Source organism: Homo sapiens, chromosome 3 (genome assembly GCF_000001405.40).
Source record: "Homo sapiens chromosome 3, GRCh38.p14 Primary Assembly".
NCBI classification, from domain to species: domain Eukaryota; kingdom Metazoa; phylum Chordata; class Mammalia; order Primates; family Hominidae; genus Homo; species Homo sapiens.
Window position 1 is genome coordinate 139315391 of NC_000003.12, and position 26960 is coordinate 139342350.

The 26960-nt window shown below is 46.4% G+C and overlaps 1 protein-coding gene across 1 annotated transcript; it reads right to left on the reverse strand.

Annotated features, from left to right (window-relative positions):
* Window positions 1–754: 754 nt before the first annotated feature.
* On the reverse strand, window positions 755–25483 carry LOC124909439 (uncharacterized). The gene is made up of 2 exons (XM_047449421.1): window positions 25180–25483; window positions 755–1514 (listed from the first exon to the last, which is right to left on the reverse strand). Exons 1-2 carry the CDS (start codon window positions 25306–25308, stop codon window positions 1104–1106), a joined length of 540 nt encoding a protein of 179 aa, XP_047305377.1. The 5' UTR covers window positions 25309–25483; the 3' UTR covers window positions 755–1103.

The following is a 26960-nucleotide window of genomic DNA, read 5'->3' on the forward strand; positions in this document are numbered from 1 at the left end:
TAATTTGTGTATTTTTTATAGAGACAGGGTTTTGCCACATTGCCCAGGCTGGTCTTGAACTCCTGAGCTCAAGCCATCCACCCACCTCGGCCTCCCAAAATGCTGAGATTACAAGCTTGAGCCACTGTGCCTGACCAAACATCACATTCTTATACATCTGTAGTCAAATCAGGCTTGTGTATCTCTCTTTTTTGGAAGGGAAATTTCTCCCAGAAGCTTAATGGTGGCTGGTTCTTGTGCCCACTTTGCAGACCACCCTCTGGGCCCACCTTCCCTGAAATGAAGACATCTATAATCATATAAGCAGGTTTCTATTAGCAGGGAGAAAGGTTGGGATGACATTGGTCTGGAAACCAACAATGTCAGTGGTTCAAGTGAGACCAAGCAAGGAAAGAGAGCCAGGGCAGGAAGCTTCATGTGACAAAAGCCGAGGAGACAACAAGGAATGTTCAGAGTGGGTCATTGCTGAGCTGCAGTGGAGGATGGTGGTGGTGGTAGTGGTGCTGATGATGGTGATGATGGTGATGATGCTCGTGTGGTGATGGTAGTGGGGATGAAGCCACACATTCTGAAGCACTTACTGTGTCTCACCCTGTATCATCACCAGGGATCCCACACTTAATCCTCCAGCAATTCTATTATTTTACTTACAAGGGAACTAAGGCTTAGTTCCCTGCACTGGCAGGTGCTGGGGCTGCAGTCATTATTGCAACCCTGGCTGTTGGTGTGGTCTGCTAGGAACACTTCAAAGCAGCTGCCATGCATAGATTCTTCCTTTTATTTTTTATCACATATTTAACAAATATTTCAAGAGTCTCCTCTGTTAAGCTATCCTACATCTTAGAATTCTAGGATACCATGGAGGACAAGATAGACAAGGTCCCTGCTCCCATGGAGCTACATTCTAATGGGCAGCATGAGGGATAATCAAGGAAGCAATTAATCAGTGAATCAATACACAAGAAAAATACCAGCTCATGGTAAGGGCAAAGAAGGACACTGTGACAAGTTGCTGCCATCAGGAGTACTTGGGGAAAGAACTTCATTTATACTGAACGGTCCAGGAAGGGCTCTCTGAAAAGGTGGCACTTGAGCTGCAACTTCTATGGAGAGATGGAGCAGCCATGTAAAGACCTGGGGAAAGGGGACTCCAGGCCCACGAACAGCAAAGAAACAACCTCTGGGGTGGTGGACAGCATTTGAAGAACAACAACGACAAAAAACCCCACCCTGACTGGAGCCCAGTTGGGCAGGGACTGAAGTACATTGGAGAGGAGTCTGGAATTTTTTCTCAAGTGGTATAAGACGCAGTGGAGCATCTTCAGCAGGGAATGCATAATCTGAATTGTGCTTTTTTGAAGTGTATCCTGGTGCGGGAAACTGCCCCTTTCTGTGGGGCTCACTGGCACACCTTGTTCCATGGGCATCGGTCCTGCCTCCCCAGGAGAACTGCAAGTTCTTGGAGGTGAGAACTCAACTGAGCTTGCCTCCTCTTGCATGTGAAGGGTGAAGGCCTGCAATGGAGATGAGTGTCATAAGTAAATATTGAAAGTTTCTGCTTTACCTGAGGGTCCTGAGAACAACCATCCCAGGTAGAAGGTGGAGCATGAAGGTATCTGCTTCTCAGAAGTTCCTGGAGTCCACCATTTCACATACCAAAGCAGACTCAGAAGAAGACATCATTTTTCCCTTGGAGATGTTTCTCCAGGTTTGTGGGGGGTTCCTCTCCATCCAGCCTCTCACACAAGCTTGGGAGCAGCCCTGGGTCTCATTAGGAGGAGGCTGTCAGATGAGCTCAGCGTCTGGTGGGTCATTCCTCCAATGAGATCTGATAGGTAGCAGACGTGTGTGCTGGGGGTGACCTGGTGAGCAGTCACCCTTCTGCCCCCGTCTGCCAGCCAGGGGGCTTCCCCACCCCTGCAAGGTGCTCCACAGAACTTGGCGCTGAATATATGAAACACGAGGCCATCCCTCATAATCAGAGCTGACTTATGGGAAAATTAAACACAGAAGGACATTCTGGCTCCAGGGAAGCTTCCTTCTATGACTTCCTGGAGGCATAGTCTGGCTGTATGCACCTTCAGGGAGAACGGCTGACCCTGCTGTCAGCCAGAGAGCTGTGACCCCAGGGTGGCAGTTGCATCTCGATGATATGTTTGTATCTGTTGGAACAGGGGGGCTAAGAACAAAAGAATAAAAATAAGGGTGGAATCTTTTTGTTTGGAATGTTCCATCTACTCTGTAAGTCCTTGTGTCTGGATATCATTTATTTTTCAGAAGTACTGAGTTGAAATCTCATTAAGTTTTTCCAGGTGAGTCAGTTATAAATTATCTAACTCCTTCTGAAGCCATTAGAAAGAATGCAAGGTCTGCTTAAGGCAGTTTACAATAAAGAGCCAAGGTGGACCAGTTCAGAGGAGCTATCAGAGTCAGAGCACAAGGAAACCTGGGAAAAGGTCTCAGGAGGTTGAACCTGGTGGAGGTGTGGCTGAGTCAGGCCATGACTCAACTCTGCTGTCACCCATTTGGACTGAAGGACAAGCTAGAGGTCCTCTCTTGCACTGCATTTGCACACTAGGCTGCAGGATGATACAGAGCCAGGGTTCATCATACTCCCTAGTTTGTCCAGAGAGCGCTTTGAAGGCTGCTGTGGGCTCCCTTTACTTAAAAAGACCCTTTCTCATTAGGATTTAAAGCATATGCTTGGCCAAGTCTGTCAAAATGCATCACAGAGATGGTCCCAAACTAACTGTTGAGCAGCCCCCTGCCCTGATCAAAGCGGAGAAGGCAGGCATCGCGCTGCCCACGGATGCTGGAGCACGTGAAGAGAGCCAGCTGGGACTACAGTCCAACAGGCCCACAAGCCACAGGCCAGAGGGCCTGTCCACGAGCTGCTGAGCAGTGAGGCACCTGGATGAACCCAGTGCCCAAGATGTCCATGAGGGGATCAACGGCTCCTCTTGTCCAAAGCCAGATCATAACAGCTTGAGCCCTGCCAGGGAATGAGAGGCTGATGTTGTAGCTGGAAGGGCTGGATGGGGAGGGGACATAGATAAGGGGATGCAATTCCCTGCTGGGCTAGTGTGGGAAATTAAAAAGCACAGACGATGTTTATGCCCTAGAGGTGAGTGGAGGACCAAAGGAGACCCTAGAAGCCCCAGATCTGAAGCCGACTCTAATTGCAACAGCTCCGTTGCTTGAGTAGTGGCCAGACACCTGGCACTGTGCCAGGGCTGTCATGCCTGGACTCATCCAAGCCTCCTAATAAATCACTGAGGGTGGGCATACTAATGTTAGCCTATAGGTTTGACAAACAATAAAATAAAACACAGAAAGATTGAGTACTTTGCCCAATGTCCCACAACTAGCCCACAGCAAAGTTAGGGTTTTAACCTACAGCTGTTTGGATACAAAGCCAGTGCCCCTAATCCCTGGGTGTACCACAGCTTAGAGATCAGACCAGGTGCAGCCCCATCATAGAGAGGAGAGATAGTCATTAGGGGACCTGAAAGCTTGGGGTACAGGTCTCCCCAGTGGAAGGCTGGCTCAGAGGAATTCCACATGTGGATGTGGGCCCGGGATCGCCGTTCAGCAGCTGCATATCCAGAGGACGACTGAAAGGGGAGGAACAAGGCACACAGGTGGGAGTCTCCTGCTGCTGACCACCCAGGATGGACCTGCCTGGGGAAGGCTGGAGGATTTGGCAGGGGCGAGGGAAAAGCAACTCACACTTCAATGCAAGAGCTCATCCCAACACCTTTTGAGACTGGGGTGTGGTCTCATTCTCTAGGAATCAGCGACTCAAAGAGGGACTCACAGAGGTGGAATGGTGGCTGGCTCATGGTCACCACAGTAGAGAAGCTAGTTTCAGAAGAAAACTGCAAATAAATCTTGGAATGTTCCATCTGGGACCTCAATGGCTTTGTCCTGGGAAGGTTTTGGCCAAAAAAGAGGGTGCTGTGTCTGAGATGAGGAGAGAGGTGTGAATGTCCAGCTCCTTGGGCTCTGCTCTTCTTGTCCCTGGCTGGAGCTCCTGACTCAGGCAGGCAGGGGCATCGCAGGACCCATGGGTGCAGAGCCCAGAGCCAGGACCTCAGTTTACTCTGGTTGTCTTCCTGCCTATCTGGGCTGAGATGGGGATCCAGCTCAGCAGCATGTACGGTGTCCCCCACATACCCCAGTGTCACAACTGCTCCAGCTCGGCTTCCTCAGCAGCCCTGGCTCCATGCTTAGGACCCGTGGTGGGTCCCTGGTATTCACTATGATGCTGCCTGCCCAGCCCTCTGCCCCTGCTCCAGTGCCCAACACACCAAACTTGTCAGCCCGGCCTCTGGGGCTGGCACCTGTCCAGTGTTTCCTTCTAACCCCCACCTGGGCACTGGCCTCAGAGTCATATGCTCCTGGGTTAAAAACTCTGCCACTTACTAGCTATACTCGCTGGGCAAATGACTTTATTTGTGGTGCTCGTTATTAAGCCATTGTCTCTCAGCTTCAAACCAGCGTCCCTCTGTGATGTTCTGGGATCCCACAAATCACCAGTATGCCTTGCCAGAACTCCTTGTTAGGCTCTGCCAAGAGGGGGCACTAGAGGGAGCCTGCAACACTGGTGGATGGAGAAGGGGTCAGCTCCTTTGTGTCTGTTTCCTGTTCTGTTGGCAACACCCCAGCAATGCAATGGCCCTGCACCCCAGCAGCAGCCGCTGGTTCCAGCTGTCAGTTTCCTCCCCATTCGCAGACCTGTCCCATGGGGTCCTCTGAGAGACACCCCCTCAGAAATCTGGGCCTCAGCCTTGCAGCCCCCTCCCAAGTGTCCACATCTTTATAAGCCCACACTCTCACCCTTGTTCCCTCAGCCCTAGGGGCTGTTACTGACCCTGAGGATCTTTTCATGTGCTTATTTGCCATCCCTGTATTTTCTTTGAAGTGTCTGCTCAAATCATTTGCCTATTTTAAACAATTAGATTACTTCCTTATTATTGACTTGTAAGAGGGCTTCATATATTCCTGCTGTTACTACCTCTGATGTCTCAGCATTCCCCTTTGCCTTTCTGTTCTGCAAGCCCTGGTTAACAGTGCCTTATATGAAATTCGCTTTGTCAAAAAGACATTTTCTGTCTCCCAACAGACATACTAGTCTGTGCCTCCGATTCCTCATCCATCAAAGGGGAACAGTGACTCCACCTCACAGGTGGCAGTGAGGAGTCAGCCAGAAGATGCCTGTGAAGGGCATCATGGCCCAAGGCCTGGCACCGAGGTAGGACCTGGTTCGAGTGGCTGAAGACTCAGCAGCTTCAACAGGGTCCCTATCGTGAGCCCCCAGAGCTGTGCCTTCCTGTTTGCTTTAGGCCAAGGGAAGAAGCAGAGTGCCTCTGTGGGCTCCTCTCAGCTGACGCAGAGGCGGTTTTTCCAGCCAGCTTCTCTCCTTTGAGAACTCGTGCGATAAAGGAGAACCTGGGCAACCCTGGAGTGAGGCAGGGTGAGGAGAACTGGCCCTTCTTACATGGCCTAATAGTCACATTTAAGAAGTACCCTAATGAGAGATTTTTTAAAAGTCTGGTTTTCAAATTTCACTGTTAAGAAACAAAAGGGCAGGCCATAAACTGGAGGGAATTAACTCAATGTTAAGTATACAGACAACTTAAAAAAAGCAGAAGATTTGAACAAACACTTCACAAAAGAAGATATCAGAATGGGCAGCAGGCACATGAAAAGATGCCGAATGTCATTAGTCATAGAGAAATTCAAAGTAAACTACAATGAGATATCACCACCTCCTCTCCCACTAGAATGGCTAACATTAAAAAGACAGAAGATTCTGTGCTGATGAGGATGTGGAGCAATTAGTACCCTCATACTTTGCTGGTGGGTTGCAAAAAATAAGACCATTTTAGAAAATTGATTGGCAGTTTCTTATCTAGTTAAACAGAGGCTTATCATATGACCCAGCAATCTCCTTCCTGGATATTTACCTGAGAGAAATGAAAACATTTGTCTGTATAAAGTCTCCTTTGCAAATAGTCATAGAAGCTTTATTCATAATAGCAAAAACCTAAAAATAGCCCACACGTCCATCAATAGGTGAAGGAATAAATAAATCATGACATATTGGCACAATGGAATACTAACTCATTGGTGAAATCAATAAACAACCTGTATACACAATAAATCTCAAAATCATGCAGAGTGAAAGAAATCAGACATCGAAGAGTACATGCTGGGTTATTCCATCTATATGAATCTCCAGAAAAGACAAATCCGTTCTATAATGACAGGAAGTAGCTCCGTGGCTGCTCAGAGGCAAGGCTGGGGTGGAGCACTGATGGGGAAGGGGAGCAGGGTACCTAGAGTGATGGGAGTGTTCTGTACAACAGCTGTATACATTCCCCAAGGCTTACCAAAGGGTACATCTAACATGGATGCGTTTTATTATGTGTCAGTTGCACCTCAATAAAGTTGATTTTTAAAATGTCACTTAGACATGAAACAGTCTTCATAAGACTGACATACAAGGAAGGGACCCATCACCACAGAGAGCCTCCAAATGGAGCCTCCTTTGAAGGAAACCCCCTTCAAACACCCCTGTGCTGAGCATTTTCTGTGTACACCCACTCTCCTGCCATCCTGTTCTGTGTCCAGAAGTTTGACCAGAATGGACTGCATAAAGACTCTCTTGTCCACTGTGTTCTTGTTAGATTAGACCAATGCAAGGTACCAGCAGGAGATCTAAGGGCAGGGGATAAATGGGTGGGAGTTATTTATTCCTCTAGCAGATCCTGCAGGGTTGTGGCAGGCTGCTCATGTCCCTGGACTGAAGGTCACAGCTCCCTCCAGGCACCCCTGCCTGGACCATGCTCCCCTTCCAGGTTCTGGTAAACCTTTCATCCTCCCACCCTTTCAGAATCTGTACTGTCCCTGAGGTGTCCCTAGATCTCACTCATGAGGTCCGAGGTCATGCTATTTGAATAGTTATTAAATTCCCTTCAAGTGATCCTAAATCGAATGTGCCATCTCTTGCCTGCTCGGCACCTGACTGATATGGCACATGGTCTTTTTTTTGTGAAACAAAACAGAGCTGAGACCCTGGCAAGAGTATCAGGGTGCCTGTGGAGGTGGTGGAAGCAGAGCCGAGGGGCCCTTCGTTTCCTGTTGATATGCAGGCTCTCACACCAGTGCCTGTGCCCCAGGAAGCATGCTCCTCTTTCAAAGCCTTGGCCCAGGTCTGGACCCAAATTCCTTCCCTTGTTTCCCCAAAGGAGCTAATAATTTTTAAATCAGTCAGGGCCAAGGGCTATTAGCAGGGATACAGGTAGAAGACACAAGAGGTCTGAACCATCACGAGTGACACTGAGTGAGGTGGAGAGCCCATGGTAGCCGCTGCCAACCACACTCCTCAGCATCTCACAGCGGCTGTGCTGCCTCTGACAGTGACCAGTCATGGCTGCCACTTAGTAGCCACTACTATGCCCTGGATGCCGGTCTGGCCATTTTACCAACATCATTTTATCTCTTCCTCATGCCAACGCTATGCCATAGACATCAGTTTTTACACACGACGAAGCTGAGGTTCAGCAAAATCAAGTAACTTGTCCAAGGTCACGCTGCTTCTAAGTGGCAAGTCAAGATTCAAACACAAGTTTGAGTTTGAATTCTAGTATAGGTTGCTGCTGTCTTCCTTATTAATCTTGGAGTGAAAAAGCTCAGAGTTTGTTTGGGTGGTTCACCCATAAGTGGATGTGAAAGGATGTAGTTCTTGGTACCACCAAAAATGCCTCATTGAAACCCTGGACCCCCAGGCCCTCCTGAGAGTGGTGGCGGGGCGGCCAACCAGGCCTTCTCTCTACCTGGCCCCCTGTGGCCTCTGCAGCACCCCACAGTAGAGCAGAACCCAGAGGACTCACCTCACTGGGCAGGGCACTCATCCTTAGCATTGGGAGCCCCTCTGTGTGCCAGTTTCTTGGGTGATTGTTGCGGGCCAGTGTCAGACTGCCCAGGTATCTGAAGCGCTTTGTGAGGGTGTCCCAGCAACAACCCTGGTCCTGGGCTCCCCTTGCGGCCAGATGCTAAGACCCAGAAATCCCACTCCTAGGTATGTGCCCTAGAGAAACGTCCACATGTGCACCGGGAGATCTGTACTTCACCTCATGGGTCTCCCTGCTGATCTTCCCAAACACCCAACTGCATTCTCTGTAATTATTCTAGAGTGTATGAAATCTTTATGTAGAACTTAAAGGATGCACTTTAAATGAACCCCCATGTACATTGCCAGGATCTTAGAAGCCCCATGTGAGCATCTTCCTTTTTCTCCTAGACCAGGATGTCTCAAGGTCGGCACTATGACATGGTGGGAAGAATAATTCCTTGGTGTTGGGGGTGTGGGCCGGGGAGGGATGTCCTGTGCGTTGTAGGATATTTAGCAGCGTCCCTGGCCAATAGCATCTAGTACATGCCGGTAGCATGTTTACCCTGCTTCCCACCCCTCCTCAGGGTCATCACAATCAAATACACCCCTCCAGACATTGACAGATATCCTACAGACATTGACAAATCATCCCCAGTTGAGAACCTCTGTCCTAGAGAAACCACTAGATGGAAATAAACCACCTTTCTGACTTGGTGCTAATCCTAGTTTTCATTTTGAGATTTGTTACCTCCATGTACACATCCCGAAGCAATATAGTTTTGAATGTTCTAAAACTTCATGAGAATGGAACCATGCAATATGCACTTTTTTTTGCATCTGGCCTTTTTTGCCAAAATTGTGCTTGTGAGATTCATCCTTATTATTGCATGCAGCCACCTTGTGTTCATTTTCATTGCTGTATAGCATTCTATTGTGTGAACGTGCCACTGTTCAATCGTTCACATTCTGTCACTGCTGGCCCTCGGGGAGCTGTTTCCAGTTGGGGCTTCTATGAGCATTGCTGCTGGGAGTGTTCCAGTACAGATCTCCTGGTGCACATGTGGATGTTTCTGTAGGGCACATACCTAGGAGTGGGATTTCTGCGTCTTAAGGAATGAATGTCTCCAGTGTTTTTTGGAGAAGTTGAACTAAATGGGCTTCCCACTGGCAGAATGTTATGTTCCTACTGTACCACATTGTTGCCAACATTTGAGATGGCTGACTTAAATTTTTGTCAATGATGCCCATTGCATCATTGTTCCCTTTTGTCTGCTCACGTTGGGACTGGACCCCATCCTATCCTGTGTGTCCCGAGCCTGCTTCTGTCCAGGCACTTTCCACTGCGTTGTGGCTGCATCATCTCCATCCCTCCCTCCGGTCAGGAGCCCCCACGATGGCAAGGATGTGTCCTTCTCCTCTGTGTGTCCCCTGTGTCCTCCTCCAATCCTGGGAGAAGGCTGTGTGTTGGAAGAATGAATGAATGATTTTGAGAGGTGGCCCATGCATGGGTTGGTCTCTCTTTCTGACAAAAGGAAAACTGCAGGCCAGCAGGGCTAAGGGATGGGCCCAGGGCTTTGGGGGAGGCAGGGCAGAGGCTCCTGTTTCTTAACCCCTGTACTTCCCAGCGGGCCACTCGGCCCTGACTGCTCCTTGGGCTTAGAGAACAAAAGCAAAAGACCCCAGAGTCCTCATCCGTCTCATGATTCTCCACCAACCTCCATCCCCAGATATACTTTGTCTTGAAAGCCACTTGGGGCCCCAAAATTGGGGCAGCAGAGAGCCAGCCCCATCTTGGACACTAGCTATGCTTCCCTGAGGGGGCCGGATTTCTGGAAGGCCTTAGTTGGGTTGGAGAGGGAATGGGCTGATGGTGTGAGCTTGTCTATTTCTCTGCTACATTCTGGGACCAATTACACTGATGAATTCTGGTCATCAGAGAGCATATCCAGCAAGGTTTCTGGAAAGGAAGGCAGACAGGCACTGTATTAGTCCATTTTCATGCTGCTGATAAAGACATACCCAAGACTGGGTGATTTATAAGGAAAAAGAGGTTTAATGGAGACTCACAGTTCCACGTGGCTGGGGAGGCCTCATAATTATGGCAGAAGGCAAAAGGCACGTCTTACACGGTGGCAGACGAGACAGAAAATGAGAGCCAAGCTAAAGAGGAAGCCCCTTATAAAACCATCAGATTTCGGGAGACTTATTCTCCACCACAAGAACAGTATGGGGGAAACTGCCCCCATGATTCAATTATCTCCCACAACATGTGAAAATTATGGGAGCTACAATTCAAAATGAGATTTGGGTGGGGACAGAGCCAAACCATGTCAGGCACTGAGGAGGCAGCAGCTGGCCAGACTGGCAGCCTGGAATGGTGATAGCAGTGGAAACAGGTGCAAGGAGGCCACAGTGAGGGAGAGGCTTTCCCTCCCAGGGAACATGGGTGCCTGCCAGCAGGCCGCCTGGCATGATGGGGGCGGGTGAGCAGCTGGCATGGTAGGTAGCCGGTGCACTTGGGGCCACTGTGTGCATGGCCATATTAGGTGCTTTACCAGCAACATCTCATTTTCCTCTCAAGTAACCCTTTTGAGACAGGGCCAACATCATTCCATTGCACAGAGGAGGCCTCAGCTCAGGGATGAGAAGCAGAGCACCCAGTCTGCCATGGAAGCTGGGGACCTTGGGAAGACTGTTAAATGGGCCCCTGGGCCTCCCACTGCACCACACTGTCCCTTGACAGCCACAGTCACAAGTCTAAGCCACATTGACAACAGTGGAGGGGGCTGCTCTGGACTGAATTGTGTCCCCCCGAAACTTGTATGTTGAAGCCCTAACACCCAATGTGGCTGTATCTGGAGATAGAGTCTTTAAGAGGTAATTAAGGTTAAGTGAGGTCATAAGGGAGGGCTGTAATCTTGTAGGATTTTGGCCTTGTACGAAGAGGAACAGAGGGAGATCTCTGTCCCCTCCATGGGCACACATGGAGGAAAGGCCATATGAGGACATAGAGAGAAGGCAGTCTCTACAGGGAGGAAGAGGGCCCGCGCCGGAACCTGACCAACCATGCTGGCACCCTGATCTCAGACTTCCGAGCCTGTGGAACTAGAAGAAAATTAATTACTTTTGTTTAAGCCACCCAGTCTATGGTATTTTGTTAGGGCAGCCTGAGCTGACTAAGACCAGAGAGGAGGCAGAGAGGTCCCCTTCAACCAGTGGACTCCTTGTAGAGTCTCATGAAGGAGTAGGGTTGCCAGATAAAATACAGGATGCCCAGTTCAATTTGAATTTCAGATAAATATTAAATAATATTTTTAATATAAATATGTTCCAAATATTGCATGGGATATACTGGTACTAAATGATTATTTGTTGATTATATGAAGTTCAAATATATCTGGGTGTCCTGTATTTTTATTTGGTAAATCTAGCAACCCGAAGGAGCAGGCCTGTGCTCCTGTGCTTTATCCCTATTTGATTAAGCTGAGCAGCTCCCCCAAGGGTTCTGAGCTGGTGTAGGGCCTGGCTGGCAGTGGGACACAGGCACCCTGGTTCCAAGCCCTGGCCCTTTCCACACAGCTGCCACCTCTGAGAGCTAATTGCTGAACAAAGTTGCAACCTAACATCTGGGGCATGTGTCAAGCCACAACAGAGCCTGTCTTCCCTTTCATCAGGCAGGGCCGGGGGAGCTGCTGGAGCCATCAGAGGGAGGGAAAGCCCTCAACTCAAAGGCCACCTCACCAAGAATTCCAGCTCCCGCCCTCTAGATTCGCTTTTGGCTTTGTTTCTCAGACTCACTTGGCTTTGGGGACTGAGGTTGTACTTGTATGTAGTAAGAATATACTGTTTATTTTTTCCACTGGGGGGAAAATACCACCTCCATTAAACTGTGCATTACGCTTTTCTAAATCTTTTACATCTATCCATTAATTCTCATGGCAACCCTGTGAAATGCCTGTGTGTACTGTTATCCCCATATTGCAGACAGAAAAACTGAAGCACAAAGCACTCCTGACACAGATGGGAGTTGGCTTCTCAGCCTCTTTTCTGGCTCAAGGGTCTTGCCAGGCTACCACGGGGAGGGGAAAAAAATCACATAACATGAAATTGCTCTCAGATCTCAGAACATACATCTTGCCAAGCCGGAATCCAAAAAAACCGAGCCTCCCATTGCCCCAGATTCTGCCTTCTTCCCCTGCCTTTTCCCTGTAGGAAGAAGGATCGTAATGCACGGAAATAAACTTTCCTCCAGAGAGGCAGTCCCCATGAGTATCTTTAGGCCAACTCAACTTCTCCAATTCTTGCCCTTCTACTCCTTCTGTAGGCTTTCTGTTGCTGGGGTTCAGAGTTGATGTTCAAGGGATGTTTCACCCAAAGTTATCAAAAATGATGGGCACTGTGAACATTGGCATTTGGGAAAGATTCTCAGCCACAGGCAGAGAATGGAAAGCAATTTCAGGTGCCTCCTTTACTTCCCAACAGAAGAGCCCACTGGCCAAGACGTCTGGCCCACAACTAAGGCCTCCTGGCCAACAGTTCCAAGGATTGGTGATGAGGTTGCTGTGGAGGGAAAGCCAACCCTGCCACTCTGTGTAGGAGGAGGCCAGGCTGGCTGCAGCATATCTTCCTTCTTGTGTGTGTCTGGCATGTGAGCACAGCACATGGTCCTGTGGTTTTGCGTGGCTTTCCCTGTCCACCACGCATTTCATTTCGTGTGTGTGTGTGTGTGTGTGTGTGCTGGGAGTGGGAGGCCGCTGTGGTTCCATAACCCAGCTTCTCTCTGAGACAGCTCAGACAGGCCTGGGGCTGGGCTTCCTGCCTCGTGGGGAGGTGGGAGGCGAAGCCTGGAGACACTCTTCCTGTGTCAGGGCAGGTGAAGCATGTGTGTGAACAGCACTGAATCAGCTGTCAAGGCAGTCTACTGCGGCCAGCTGGGCCTGTCCTCCAGAGACAGAAAGAACCAGCGGACCTCGACCCTCAAGCCCATTTCAACCATCAGGAGAACTTGGAGGAGGAGCAGTGTTTTGAATCAAGTGTTTCACAATTAAGAGCAGGGTGAAGTGCACAGTGATTACAAGAGCTTCCCGGCTGTGCCCCTCTCCCATTCCCACCGCTGCTGGAGGGACCTGTCCAGGGGCTGCCCCTTCTTAGATGGAGATTGAGAATCCATAAATATTCCCTGATGGCTGCAGAACTGGGTTCAGATTCAGTGTCCAGGCACTGAAGGCCCCCTCAGTCTGGCCCTGTCTTCACCTTCTGGCCACATGGGCCAGATCCCACTCGCTGACACTTCCCAATCACTATGCTTGTGTGAGTCCCACTCGCTCTCACACCCTTAACCCTGACTACCTGGCTCAAGGCCCATGTCTCCCTCCCACCCTGCTGTCATCTTCCTGGCACTTTCTGCCCACACCAGCCACTTTGTACATGTCCCAAGGCTGTCCAAAGGTGTTATCTTTTTGTGATAACCACATCTCACAGGTGGCTAGAGATTTCCAACAGACAAAGCACATCCACAAGACACATCATTTATTTCTCACTGCAACCCTACAAAGTAGGGATTACTGTCCCCACTCTGCAGATGAGCCTCAGAGGAGTTACCGCAGTGACTCTGACTTTAAATTACTGGTTTGTGGAGGCTGAGCTTGCGTTACAGATTTGATGGGCTCCTGACGCAGGCTCTCTCCTCTACCACACCCTGAAATTCATGGCAAAGGCCTGTGGGCACAGGTGGGGTTACCAAGTGCCAGACTAGATGGGAGGGAAATGTGGCCCCCACCTCATGGAAAAGTAAGTCTCCCCAAAGAAATGGTTGTGGAGATTTATCACTAAATTTACAGCATTAGAAAGAGGGGTTTGCATGCCCAGATGTAGCCTTGGGTATTTAGGAACTAGACAGGGTCTTGCAGCAAAGTCACCCTCTCTCCTAGAACGGGTGCTGTTGGCTCCCACAGCCCCCTCTGTCCTGAGAGACCCTATGCCTCTGTGGCAGGAAGGAGAGAGGGTGGAGGGTCTGTCTGCAGTGCCAGTGGAGAAGGTAGCATGAGGCTGCATGAAAAGGAGAATGCATTCTGTCTCTGTGTGAGTCCAAGAGATGCGGAACACGGAGCCGGGCTGCCCCAGCTCCACTGAGGGCGTGGCCCGGAAGGGCAGCCTAAGGTTTAATCGCCAGAGAGGACGCCTTGCTCCAGCGTTTGGCTCCCCACGGCGGTCCCACAGCGCCACCTAGCGGCCCCCCCGCCAGGAGAACACGCGTCCCTCACTACGCGGAGGAGGGCGCTGTCCAGGAATCTGGAGCACCTCTGAACTTGCTAGGTGCTTGCATGCCGCCTCCAGTGCCTGCCGCTTGGCCCACACATGCCTTGTCCACGCTGTCCCTGCTCCTTACCTGCACCCAAGATGACCATCCCCGCCCTTCCTCTCTCAAGTGATTTTGGGGAACAAATGAAAAGGCCGTAATGTAAAATGGTAAAGCGCTCTGCAAAGGTAGTACTGGGTACCACTCACTGAGAATCTTCTCTGCACCCCACGCTGCTAGACATGTCATGAGGATTATCACTAAGCCCCGTGGCAACACTGAAAGGTGGGGATTATCAAGCCCATTTTACAAAAGAGAAATTGAATTTCAGAGAAGTGGAGTAACACATACAAATTCACCCTACTAGTACAAGACAGAGCCGGGATTCACATTAATTTCAAAGCCTGTGGGTCTCTGGCTCCCCTGGGAAGAACCATTGCTATTATCATCACTGTATTCTTAGAGCTGCTGCTGCTGCTGCTGCAGTGGAAGAACACAGCCCCTTCCAACACACAGATATGGGTTCAAGCCACTTGCCACTCAGCAGCTGTTAGGGCTTGGACAGGCCACATACCACCCCACAGCCTCACCTCACACCTCCTTCCCAGAAGTGTCCTGCCCTCTTGCCACACCTCAATTATGTCTTCCTCTAGGGAGGTCTCCCCCACTGAGCACCCAGCTCTCAGGGTGAGGGGGCTTGTTGTCCCCAGATCTGCAGCCCTGCTAGGAGCCCCAAACTATCTGATGCCAGGCTCTCATGCTGTCCCCATCATTACCCACTCCTGTGTCAATATCACCTCCCCTCAGCTGGGCTGGGGCCTCCTCACAGTACACAGGCCCAACATGCGGCAGCACTCTACAGGAACTCTGCAGGGCGGTCTAGAAACATGCCCACACGCTCTTTCACACTTGTCCCTTCAAAAAGTGGAGTCTAATTCATCTCTCCTTGAATACTGGCCAGCTTTAGCAACTAGCTTCTACTGAATAAAGTGAGATGGGAGTGATGCTGTGTGATTTCCAAGACGAGGTTAGAACAGGTGATATGGCTTTGGACTGGCTCTCTATCTCCTGAGATGCCGACTTTTGGAATCCAGCCACCAGGATATGAAGAAGTGCAGGCCACACAGAGAAGCCACGTGTAGGTATTCTGCCTGACAGCCCCCACTGAGATCTCAGCTGACAGCCAACATCAACTGGCACACATGTGACAAATAAGCCTTTGGATGATCACAGGCACAGCCTTTGAGCTACTCCAGCTGGTACAAGAGAGGGCAGAGATGAGCTGTCCCCACCAAGCCCTACCCAAATTTCAGATTCACGAGCAAAATAAATGCTGCCAAGTTTTGGAGAGTTGGTTACAGTGCAGTGGACAACCAGAACATTCTGCTAACTTGCACAATTGTGAGCAGCCACTAAGTACTGAGCACACACAAGGATGAACTGTGGGCTCTGTCCGCCCCCCAGATCATCATCGTTGCTGTTCTCCAGTCCTTAGAAGGGCTGGTTCTTCTCATCTTTGCCTGGAGGCCTGGGCCCTGCTCTGCTAATTCTACTCATCATTATTTATTTATTCATTTATTCGATGGGGTATTTTTTTTTTTTTGAGACGGAGTCTTGCTGTGTCACCCAGGCTGGAGTGCAGTGGCACGATCTTGGCTCACTGCAACCTCCGCCTCCCAGGTTCAAGTGATCCTCCTGCTTCAGCCTCCCGAGTAGGTGGGATTACAGGTGCGTGCCACCATGCCCGGCTAATTTTTGTATTTTTAGTAGAAATGGGGTTTCACCATGTTGGCCAGGCTGGTCTCACGCTCCTGACCTCAGGTGATCTGTCTGCCTTGGCCTCCCAAAGTGCTGGACTGACAGGCATGAGCCACCGCACCTGACCCATTTATTCAATGGCTATTTCTTGAGCTTCTACTATGTGTCAAACACACTGATGTCTACTGAAGATATAGTGCTAAAGGCTCTGCCCTTATGGAGCCTTTAGCCAGGAAGGTAAAATAGATAATAACCAAGTAAACTAACAATTATTTAATTAAACTCTTCATAAGCACTATCAATGCAGGGCTAGGATACTATGACAGCATGTAACAGGGGAACCTGCTTAGTCTTGCTGCTCACGTCTCTGCAGCCCGCCTCATCCTTTAGCTCACTCCAACCACTCATTAGGAAATCCTCTGCCATGGAGACCCTCCATCCTAGACATTCAGTGGCAGTTCCAATTTCCTGGAATGTCATGCTTTTTATAATTGCTTCATGATTTGTATTAGTTTGTGAGTCCTCATCAACTATAGTTTTTAAACCAGAAGAAAAATATCCTTTGAAAATTCTAGGTCTAGAAAATGCATGGCCTGCAATCTTAAATTACTCCTTAATGGTATCATTGAGGTGTTTTTGTCCCGCCAACTTCATTGAGGAGGACTTCCACTTCCAACCAAGATAGAGGAACAGGGACCAGACTTACCTGAAATAAGGAAACGAAACAGGCAAAATATATAAAACTTGTTTTTAAGATACTGGACAGTGGCTTGAAATGAAGGTCAGTGATTCCTGAAAGAGAGGATACAAACAAGAGGATCCCTACTATTTTCACAACTTACTGCCTTGAGGGACTTTCCAGGCGATGGCACAGAGAGGGGAATCCAGGCAGAGCCTAGAAAACTCCCTGCATTCAGGAGATAACACTGAGTGCTCAGGGAGACCAAGGTGGCTAGGGTTTGCTAATCAGAGTACCAAAGAGACAGAGCGCTACACAGACAGGGAACTCAGGATCTGCAAAGGGTCCTCATCAATTACTCAGCAGAGTACTGATCAGAGCATGTGTATGAAGAAACTGCCTGAAAGCTGTGGGTCAGGGAAGGCATCCAGGAGGATTAGGAACAGTGGACAGAACACACACATAGAGTGCTGAAAATAGTGCCTGGTTCCACCAACAAGAATGGAACAACTCCTAAATTATGGGGCATTGGGTAGAATCTTTGTAAAGTCTTGCCTTAGTAATGGGAAATAAATAGCCCTAGATGGAGCTATTTATTTAAATGGCTCAACAAATTGTGAAGGAATATCCAAAAAGAGCAAATGTTTCCAATTTGCTAACTACACTCTGGACAAGAATATCTATAAGAATACCAAAAAATGCAGCACCCAAAAAAGTAAAATTCATAATGTGTGACATCCAAACAAAGATTAACAGGCATATAAAGGCAGAAAAAACATAATGCCTCATGAGAACTAGTTAATGTAAACTAACCCAGAACTGACACACACATAGAATTAGCAGAGAAGGACATGAAAAGTGATTATAACTGTATTCCATCTCTTTTGAAAGTTAAGCATAAACGTAGAACTTACAAAAAAGGCCTAAATCAGGGGTTGCAATCCTAGTCTCTGATAAAACAGACTTTAAACCAACAAAGATCAAAAGAGACAAAGAAGGCCATTACATAATGGTAAAGGGATCAATTCAACAAGAAGAGCTAACTATCCTAAATATATATGCACCCAATACAGGAGCACCTAGATTCATAAAGCAAGTCCTGAGTGACCTACAAAGAGACTTAGACTCCCACACAATAATATTGGGAGACTTTAACACCCCACTGTCAACATTAGACAGATCAACGAGACAGAAAGTTAACAAGGATACCCAGGAATTGAACTCAGCTCTGCACCAAGTGGACCTAATAGACATCTACAGAACTCTCCACCCGAAATCAACAGAATATACATTTTTTTCAGCACCACACCTATTCCAAAATTGACCACATAGTTGGAAGTAAAGCTCTCCTCAGCAAATGTAAAAGATCAGAAATTATAGCAAACTGTCCCTCAGACCACAGTGCAATCAAAGTAGAACTCAGGATTAAGAAACTCACTCAAATCCGCTCAACTACATGGAAACTGAACAACCCTGCTCCTGAATGACTACTGGGTACATAACAAAATGAATGCAGAAATAAAGATGTTCTTTGAAACCAATGAGAACAAAGACACAACATACCAGAATCTCTGGGACACATTCAAAGCAGTGTGTAGAGGGAAATTTATAGCACTAAATGCCCACAAGAGAAAGCAGGAAAGATCCAAAATTGACACCCTAACATCACAATTAAAAGAACTAGAAAAGCAAAAGCAAACACATTCAAAAGCTAGGAGAAGGCAAGAAATAACTAAAATCAGAGCAGAACTGAAGGAAATAGAGACACAAAAAACCCTTCAAAAAATTAATGAATCCAGGAGCTGGTTTTTTGAAAGGATCAACAAAATTGATAGACCGCTAGCACGACTAATAAAGAAGAAAAGAGAGAAGAATCAAATAGACGCAATAAAAAATGATAAAGGGGATATCACCACCGATCCTACAGAAATACAAATTACCATCAGAGAATACTACAAACACCTCTACGCAAATAAACTAGAAAATCTAGAAGAAATGGATAAATTTCTCGACACATACACCCTCCCAAGACTAAACCAGGAAGAAGTTGAATCTCTGAATAGACCAGTAACAGGCTCTGAAATTGTGGCAATAATCAATAGCTTACCAACCAAAAAGAGTCCCGGACCAGATGGATTCACAGCGAAATTCTACCAGAGGTACAAGGAGGAGCTGGTACCATTCCTTCTGAAACTATTCCAATCAATAGAAAAAGAGGGAATCCTCCCTAACTCATTTTATAAGGCCAGCATCATCCTGATACCAAGCCGGGCAGAGACACAACCAAAAAAGAGAATTTTAGACCAATATCCTTGATGAACATTGATGCAAAAATCCTCAATAAAATACTGGCAAACCGAATCCAGCAGCACATCAAAAAGCTTATCCACCATGATCAAGTGGGCTTCATCCCTGGGATGCAAGGCTGGTTCAATATACGCAAATCAATAAATGTAATCCAGCGTATAAACAGAACCAAAGACAAAAACCATATGATTATCTCAATAGATGCAGAAAAGGCCTTTGACAAAATTCAACAACCTTCATGCTAAAAACTCTCAATAAATTAGGTATTGATGGGACGTATCTCAAAATAATAAGAGCTATCTATGACAAACCCACAGCCAATATCATACTGAATGGGCAAAAACTGGAAGCATTCCCTTTGAAAACTGGCACAAGACAGGGATGCCCTCTCTCACCACTCCTATTCAACACAGTGTTGGAAGTTCTGGCCAGGGCAATTAGGCAAGAGAAGAAAATAAAGGGTATTCACTTAGGAAAAGAGGAAGTCAAATTGTCCCTGTTTGCAGACGACATGATTGCATATCTAGAAAACCCCATTGTCTCAGCCCAAAATCTCCTTAAGCTGATAAGCAACTTCAGCAAAGTCTCAGGGTGCAAAATCAATGTACAAAAGTCACAAGCATTCTTATACACCAATAACAGACAAACAGAGAGCCAAATCATGAGTGAACTCCCATTCACAATTGCTTCAAAGAGAATAAAATACCTAGGAATCCAACTTACAAGGGATGTGAAGGACTTCTTCAAGGAGAACTACAAACCACTGCTCAATGAAATAAAAGAGGATACAAACAAATGGAAGAACATTCCATGCTCATGAGTAGGAAGAATCAATTTCGTGAAAATGGCCATACTGCCCAAGGTAATTTATAGATTCAATGCCATCCCCATCAAGCTACCAATGACTTTCTTCACAGAATTGGAAAAAACTACTTTAAAGTTCATATGGAACCAAAAAAGAGCCCATATCGCCAAGTCAATCCTAAGCCAAAAGAACAAAGCTGGAGGCATCATGCTACCTGACTTCAAACTATACCACAAGGCTACAGTAACCAAAACAGCACGGTACTGGTACCAAAACAGAGATATAGATCAATGGAACAGAACAGAGCCCTCAGAAATAACGCTGCATATCTACAACTCTCTGATCTTTGACAAACCTGAGAGAAACAAGCAATGGGGAAAGGATTCCCTATTTAATAAATGGTGCTGGGAAAACTGGCTAGCCATATGTAGAAAGCTGAAACTGGATCCCTTCCTTACACCTTATACAAAAATTAATTCAAGATGGATTAAAGACTTACATGTTAGACCTAAAACCATAAGAACCCTAGAAGAAAACCTAGGCAATACCATTCAGGACATAGGCATGGGCAAGGACTTCATGTCTAAAACACCAAAAGCAATGGCAACAAAAGCCAAAATTGACAAATGGGATCTAATTAAACTAAGGAGCTTCTGCACAGCAAAAGAAACTACCATCAGAGTGAACAGGCAACCTACAAAATGGGTGAAAATTTTCGCAACCTACTCATCTGACAAAGGGCTAATATCCAGAATCTACAATGAACTCAAACAAATTTACAAGAAAAAAACAAACAACCCCATCAAAAAGTGGGCAAAGGACATGAACAGACACTTCTCAAAAGAAGACATTTATGCAGCCAAAAAACACATGAAAAAATGCTCATCATCACTGGCCATCAGAGAAATGCAAATCAAAACCACTATGAGATATCATCTCACACCAGTTAGAATGGCAATCATTAAAAAGTCAGGAAACAACAGGTGCTGGAGAGGATGTGGAGAAATAGGAACACTTTTACACTGTTGGTGGGACTGTAAACTAGTTCAACCATTGTGGAAATCAGTGTGGCGATTCCTCAGGGATCTAGAACTAGAAATACCATTTGACCCAGCCATCCCATTACTGGGTATATACCCAAAGGACTATAAATCATGCTGCTATAAAGACACATGCACACGTATGTTTATTGCAGCATTATTCACAGTAGCAAAGACTTGGAACCAACCCAAATGTCCAACAATGATAGACTGGATTAAGAAAATGTGGCACATATACACCATGGAATACTATGCAGCCATAAAAAATGATGAGTTCATGTCCTTTGTAGGGACATGGATGAAATTGGAAACCATCATTCTCAGTAAACTATCGCAAGAACAGAAAACCAAACACCGCATATTCTCACTCATAGGTGGGAATTGAACAATGAGATCACATGGACACAGGAAGGGGAATATCACACTCTGGGGACTGTGGTGGGGAGGGGGGAGGGGGGAGGGATAGCATTGGGAGATATACCTAATGCTAGATGACGAGTTAGTGGGTGCAGCGCACCAGCATGGCACATGTATACATATGTAACTAACCTGCACAATGTGCACATGTACCCTAAAACTTAAAGTATAATTAAAAAAAAAAAAAAAAAAAGAAAATACAAAGGTAAGCCACCAAATGGGAGAAAAATGTTTGAAAACATATTTTAATATTGGACTTGTATCCAGAATATACATATATATATTCTGATATTTAAGAATTCATGAAATTAAAAAATAAAAAACCAAACAACTAGATTTCTAAAGTAGGCAAAAGATTTGAATAGATGAATCGACAAATGAATGGAAAATTAGCACATGAAAAGATGCTCAACATCAATAGTCATTAGACCAATGAAATTGAAAACCACAGTGAGATACCATAACACATTTATTAGAAGGCTAACATTAAGAGGAATGACTATTTTAAGTGTTGACGAAGATGCTGAGGAAACAATACTCTCATATAATATGTTGATGGAGATGTAAAATGGTACAATTACTTTAGAAAAATGTGGGAGTTTCTTAAAAAGTTAAACACAGTCAACCATTCATTCCCAGATATTTACCCAGGAGAAATGAAAACATATGTGCAAAGACGTGTACACAAGTGTTCATAGGAGCTTTATTTGTTATAACCAAAGACTGGGAAAAACCCAAAAGTCCCTCAACAGATGAAAGGATAACAAGTTGTGGTCCATAAACCACGATAGATACTACTCAGCAGTAGAAAGGAAAGGAACAAACTATTGATACACATGACACCATGAGTGAATCTTAAAATAATTATATTAGGTGCAAAAAGCCAGACAAAAGAGAATATAAACTTGTGGTGCCTTTTATATGAAATTCTAGAAAATGCAAACTATCCAAAGTGAAAGAAAGCAGTGGCTTCCAGGGGAGAGAGTTATTTGGGAACAGCAGGAGGAAGGGATTACCTACCAAGGAGTATGAGGAAGTTTTCAGAGTGATGGATATTTTCATTATCTTGACTGTGGTTATGGTTATATGGCAGACACATACGTCAAAACTTATCAAATTATATGCTTTCAGTGTGTGAAGTTTGTTGTATGCCAATTATACCTGAATAAACCTATTTATTTATTTATATAAAAATATAAACCTATTTATTTTAAAAAACAAAACTCCACTGGGAAATTGTTGAGGTTCGGGATATCTGTATTCTCTTTCCGTATTTTCCACAGGGTTTGTCTCAGGTCTGAGTGTGCAGAAGGTGGTCAACAAATGTTTGATTACTTTCATCCCTACAAGAATTACCAGCATAGAAGGAAACTCACTGAGCAAGGATGTTTACTGGTACAATTCAGCTGATGGGGAAATTGTGATTTGCTAAAGTAGCAAAAGTCACAAGGGGTGAGGGGACTTCGTTTGATCACTCATTTCTATGGACTGCTAGGTCAAGTCAGTTCATTTCAGCCTGGAACGTTTGCATCCCTGGACAGTTTCTAAGGGAGGAGAATGAATGCCACTGAACATTCATAAGGAATAAGATGAGATGGAACAAGAATGATGATGATGAGGATGAGGATGAGAATGATGAAGATGATGATAGTAATAGTGATAATACTATTTACCACTTGATGGCCACTGACTGTGTGCCAGAGCACCATCTGCTTCCTGTCTGTTCACCCTCACCCCAGTCCTATGTGGAAGTTGTTATCATTCCATCTTAAAGAGGAGGAACTAGCAGGTGGTGAGTAAAATGGGCTCATATAGCTAATAAGTTGCGGAGCTAGTATTTGAACCCATGTCTGTCTGATTCCAAAGCCTGTGCTCCTACCATTAAATGTATCCCATTCCCAAGCCAATAAACACATGTGAACACATGTATTTCCACCTGAACACCCATGTAAGGCCACACACACACACACACGCATATACTCAACCACATGTATACAAATGTACCTGCACACACATGGGTACACATACGCACATGCACATATTTGAATACACACATTTGCATGCATACAAAAATGGCCACACACATACACAAATGCATCCACATGTATCCCCTGAACACACACACCTATGCACATACACGCTTGCATGACACATACAGCTGAGCACACACATATGTGGTTGCACATACACAGAGGCACACACTTAGTCCTAAGAACACACATTTTCCCTTTCTGGCTCTGGCTTCCTGCAAACAGCCACCACTACATCCTTTTGCCAGCCTCTCCCAGCCAGGCCCCAAGAATCTTCAAAACACTGAAGTCCTAAGTCTCAAGTGAAATTATGCCCAGGCCCCTGACCTGGGGGAGCTGCATGCAAGTCAGGGCAATCAGATACATCACATTTTCCCATGAAAGAAATTTCTGACAGGCTTATTAACCTTTGAAAATACCAGTTCTCAGTCTGAGGGACTTCCTGAGTCCAGATCAAATTGAAAAATAACCTAGTGACAGACCACCCAGTTCTGAGCTGATGGGAATTACTTTCAACCCAGGCCAGCATGTCCTTTAGACAAAATGTTCCACACCAAACCTGACAGCAGCCAGATCTTGGGAGCAGGGGAGCCAAGTGCCATTTATTACAAAACATATCCATGATCGCTGTGTCATGGGGCCACTGCTCTGGGCCCAAGTCCCTTTGGGGGCAGCTGGGGTGGCAAGTAGCAGCCAGCCTTAGTGCCTTTGACATTTATGTCCCTGTGCTATAGGACAGAGGGTCTGTCTGTCATCACAGACTGATGTAGCCTTGGCCCCTGGCAATCATTTTCTGTTTCAAGTGTTCAGTTTGGTGTAGAATTGTAGTTCAGTGGATGCTATCAGAAGAAAAAGGACAGAGTGTCACGTGGAAAATTGGAGATAAACTGATAACTCCAGGGTTAGAGGAACTGACTCATCCGCCCCCACTGGCTTGTGGTGGAGGACAGTCTCCCTCCTTCTCTCTTTTGGGCCATATTCTGGCTCAGAAGTCAGTCTATGTAATTTCTGGAAGTGTCAATGTTTTTCTTCACCCCATAGAACACATGTAGAACAGAGCTTTTCCACCATAAGAGCTGCCAGGTACCTCAGAGTTCAGCCTTGTCACTGCATGGAATAAATTGGGTGGTCATGCGCAAGACCCATAACTTCAGAGCCTCAGTTTATGCATATAAAAGATGGGAATATCAGTGCCTGCCCTGTCTGCCTCACTAATTTGCCATGAAGACTAACAGGGCTGATGAGAAGACAGTGCACTCTGAGTGAGAGGGAAGGGGCTTGGGCCATCACATCTTCAACCATTCCTACCATTGTTCAAGGTTTTTTTGCTCAGGCAAACCCTCACACAGGCTTCCAGGAATGTCTTCTGATGTTTCCCCTCTTTCTCTGGAATTATCTCCTCTTCTGCACTGCTACTGACTGTCCCACTGCTCAGCAGGTTGCATCCCAGCCATGTGCCCAGCCCCAGCAGATACTTCAAACTGCTCATTCCTATAGCTCCCAACACAACCGTACCTCTTCTCGACCAATGATTTTGCTTTCCAGTGCTCAGAAAAAGGGACAGAGAGGCAGGAAGGCTCTCTGATTCTCTCCCCAAAACGTATCCACTCTAACCATCCTTAACTCCTGGCCTACTGGTGCAAAGGCTCCTTTGCATCTACTACCAATGCCTCCACTTAGAATCTTCATCCCCTGAAGCTTCCTCAGGGATCCACAACATCACTTGTCCCTTCTCGTTACTGGATCTTTGGTTTTTTCCTTGCTACCAGTCCCTTCTCAGCACACAAAGGGGAATTTCGGCCATGGAATTTGTGTCTCTGTAGGAACATGTAAGAGGTTTGGACTTTGAATAGGGGCCAGAAGAATAAAAACTCTGGGTGAAGTCAAAAGTGGGGTGGATGTGGACCTTTTGGGAGGCCTCAAGGATAGGGAATTGAAGACTTACAGAAGTCACATGAGTGTGGTTGCTGGAGACCGCAGGGGTTCTTGCGTTGTCCAGACTGTCACCTTTCTTCCTTGGGCTCTGTTCTTCCTCTCTCCATTCCTCTCCCTGACTTTTATCCCCTAACCCCATCTTGACTTCTAAAAGCTTAGGATAAAATATATCTTTTAAAAAACAGAAGTCCAGACCCTGTTAAATCACTGAGAGTGGGATAAGGCACTCCCCACTGAGGCATCACTATACTTTTGTTTTACAAATAATAGAAAACCATGCTTGCTCCACAGAGCTGGTGAAGATATGACCTAATGAATCCTAACAGTAGCTGCAGCCAGATAGCCTTGGGACTGTCAGTCAGAGGGCCAACCCTCCCCAACCCCCAGTGGTGAACAGAACCCCACCCAGGCCAATCAGCCTCTCTCACCAGGAACTTAGATTGGATGGAAGGCAGGGAGTTGGAACCAAGCCATTAGGACTGCAACCTCCTGGAGAGATCTCTTGAGTTCCTGCCTCTGGGGTTCTTGGAGCTGCCATCTTTCAAGTCCTTCCTGAGGCTTGGCTGTTGAGCTTTTTCTTGAATTCTGTGAGATATTCAGTATCCTTCCAATTACTCCCATTTCAGTTTTACTCAGGAAAGATTTGTTTCTTGCAACCAGAGTACTTCTGAATACCATCCTCAGAAAGTAACTGACTTGGGTGCCATGGCTCATGCCTGCAATTCCAGCACTTTGGTAGGCTGAGGCGGGCAGATCACTTGAGCCCAGGAGTTCAAGACCAGCCTGGACAACACAAAAATTAGCTGGGCATGGTGGTGTGCACCTGTAGTCCTAGCTACTTGGGAGGCTAAGGTGGGAGGATTGCTTGAGCCCAGGAGGCAGAGGTTGCAGTGAGCTGAGATCATGCTACTGCACTCCAGCCATGGTGACAAAGTAAGAAAGACCCTGTCTCAAAAGAAAAAAAAAAACGGAAAAGAAAAAAAGAAAGTAATTGACTTGCCACCACACAACCTTCTCACACCATCTTTATGAAACACCAGACATCAGATCCTGAAAGTACTTTATTCTCAAAGTTTGCAAGATAAGTATTGTCATTATGCCCATTTTGCAGGTGAGGTACTGGGGCTCTGAAAGATGTGGGCATCTGCCTGAGGTTATAGCTTAAACCAGGAATCTTCATTACTCCATATCAGTAAAACTCACTGTACCCCAAGTAAAAGAGGTCATTGAAAGGAAAGTGGGAAGCTCTCTGGCCAAGACACCACCTTTCTCCATCTCTCTCCGTACATATTCTCCCATCTCTGCTTCTGAGGATCTGCTCCATTTTCCTGCCTCTCTCTGCAGAGTGGCTTTTCCCTGCTCACTCATCAGTGAGCACATTGCTGAAAAAGGCTGCTTCAGCCCAAACCCTAAATACTTAGTTATTCACTTCAAGCTTCCACCGTCGACTATTCTATGTCTCATAGTTTGAATTATTGAGAAAAAATCTGCTTGGTGCCTGGTCATCTGGGGTAGGCTGAAGAATGCCCCCATACTTCCTCCCAAGTATAACTGCACTCTAATCCATGGAACTTGTGGATGTTACCTTATATGGAAACATGGTCTTTGCAGATGTGATTAAGTTAAAGATTTTAAAATGGGGATTATCTTGGATTATCAGGGTGGGTCAGTGATTATGCAATCACATACATCCTTATAAGAAGAAAACAGAGGAAGATTTGGCACAAATAGAAGAAGAGAAGCTGATGTGAAGATGGAGGCAGAGATTGAAATGATGCAGCCACAGGCAAA

Coding starts and splice junctions, on each gene's coding strand:
- LOC124909439 (XM_047449421.1), bottom strand. CDS start 25,308: ATGGGGTTAGGGGATAAAAGTCAGGGAGAGGAATGGAGAGAGGAAGAA. Junction 1,515..25,179: donor ACCACACTCATGTGACTTCT/GTAAGTCTTCAA, acceptor TCTCCATTGCAG/GCCTTCACCCTTCACATGCA.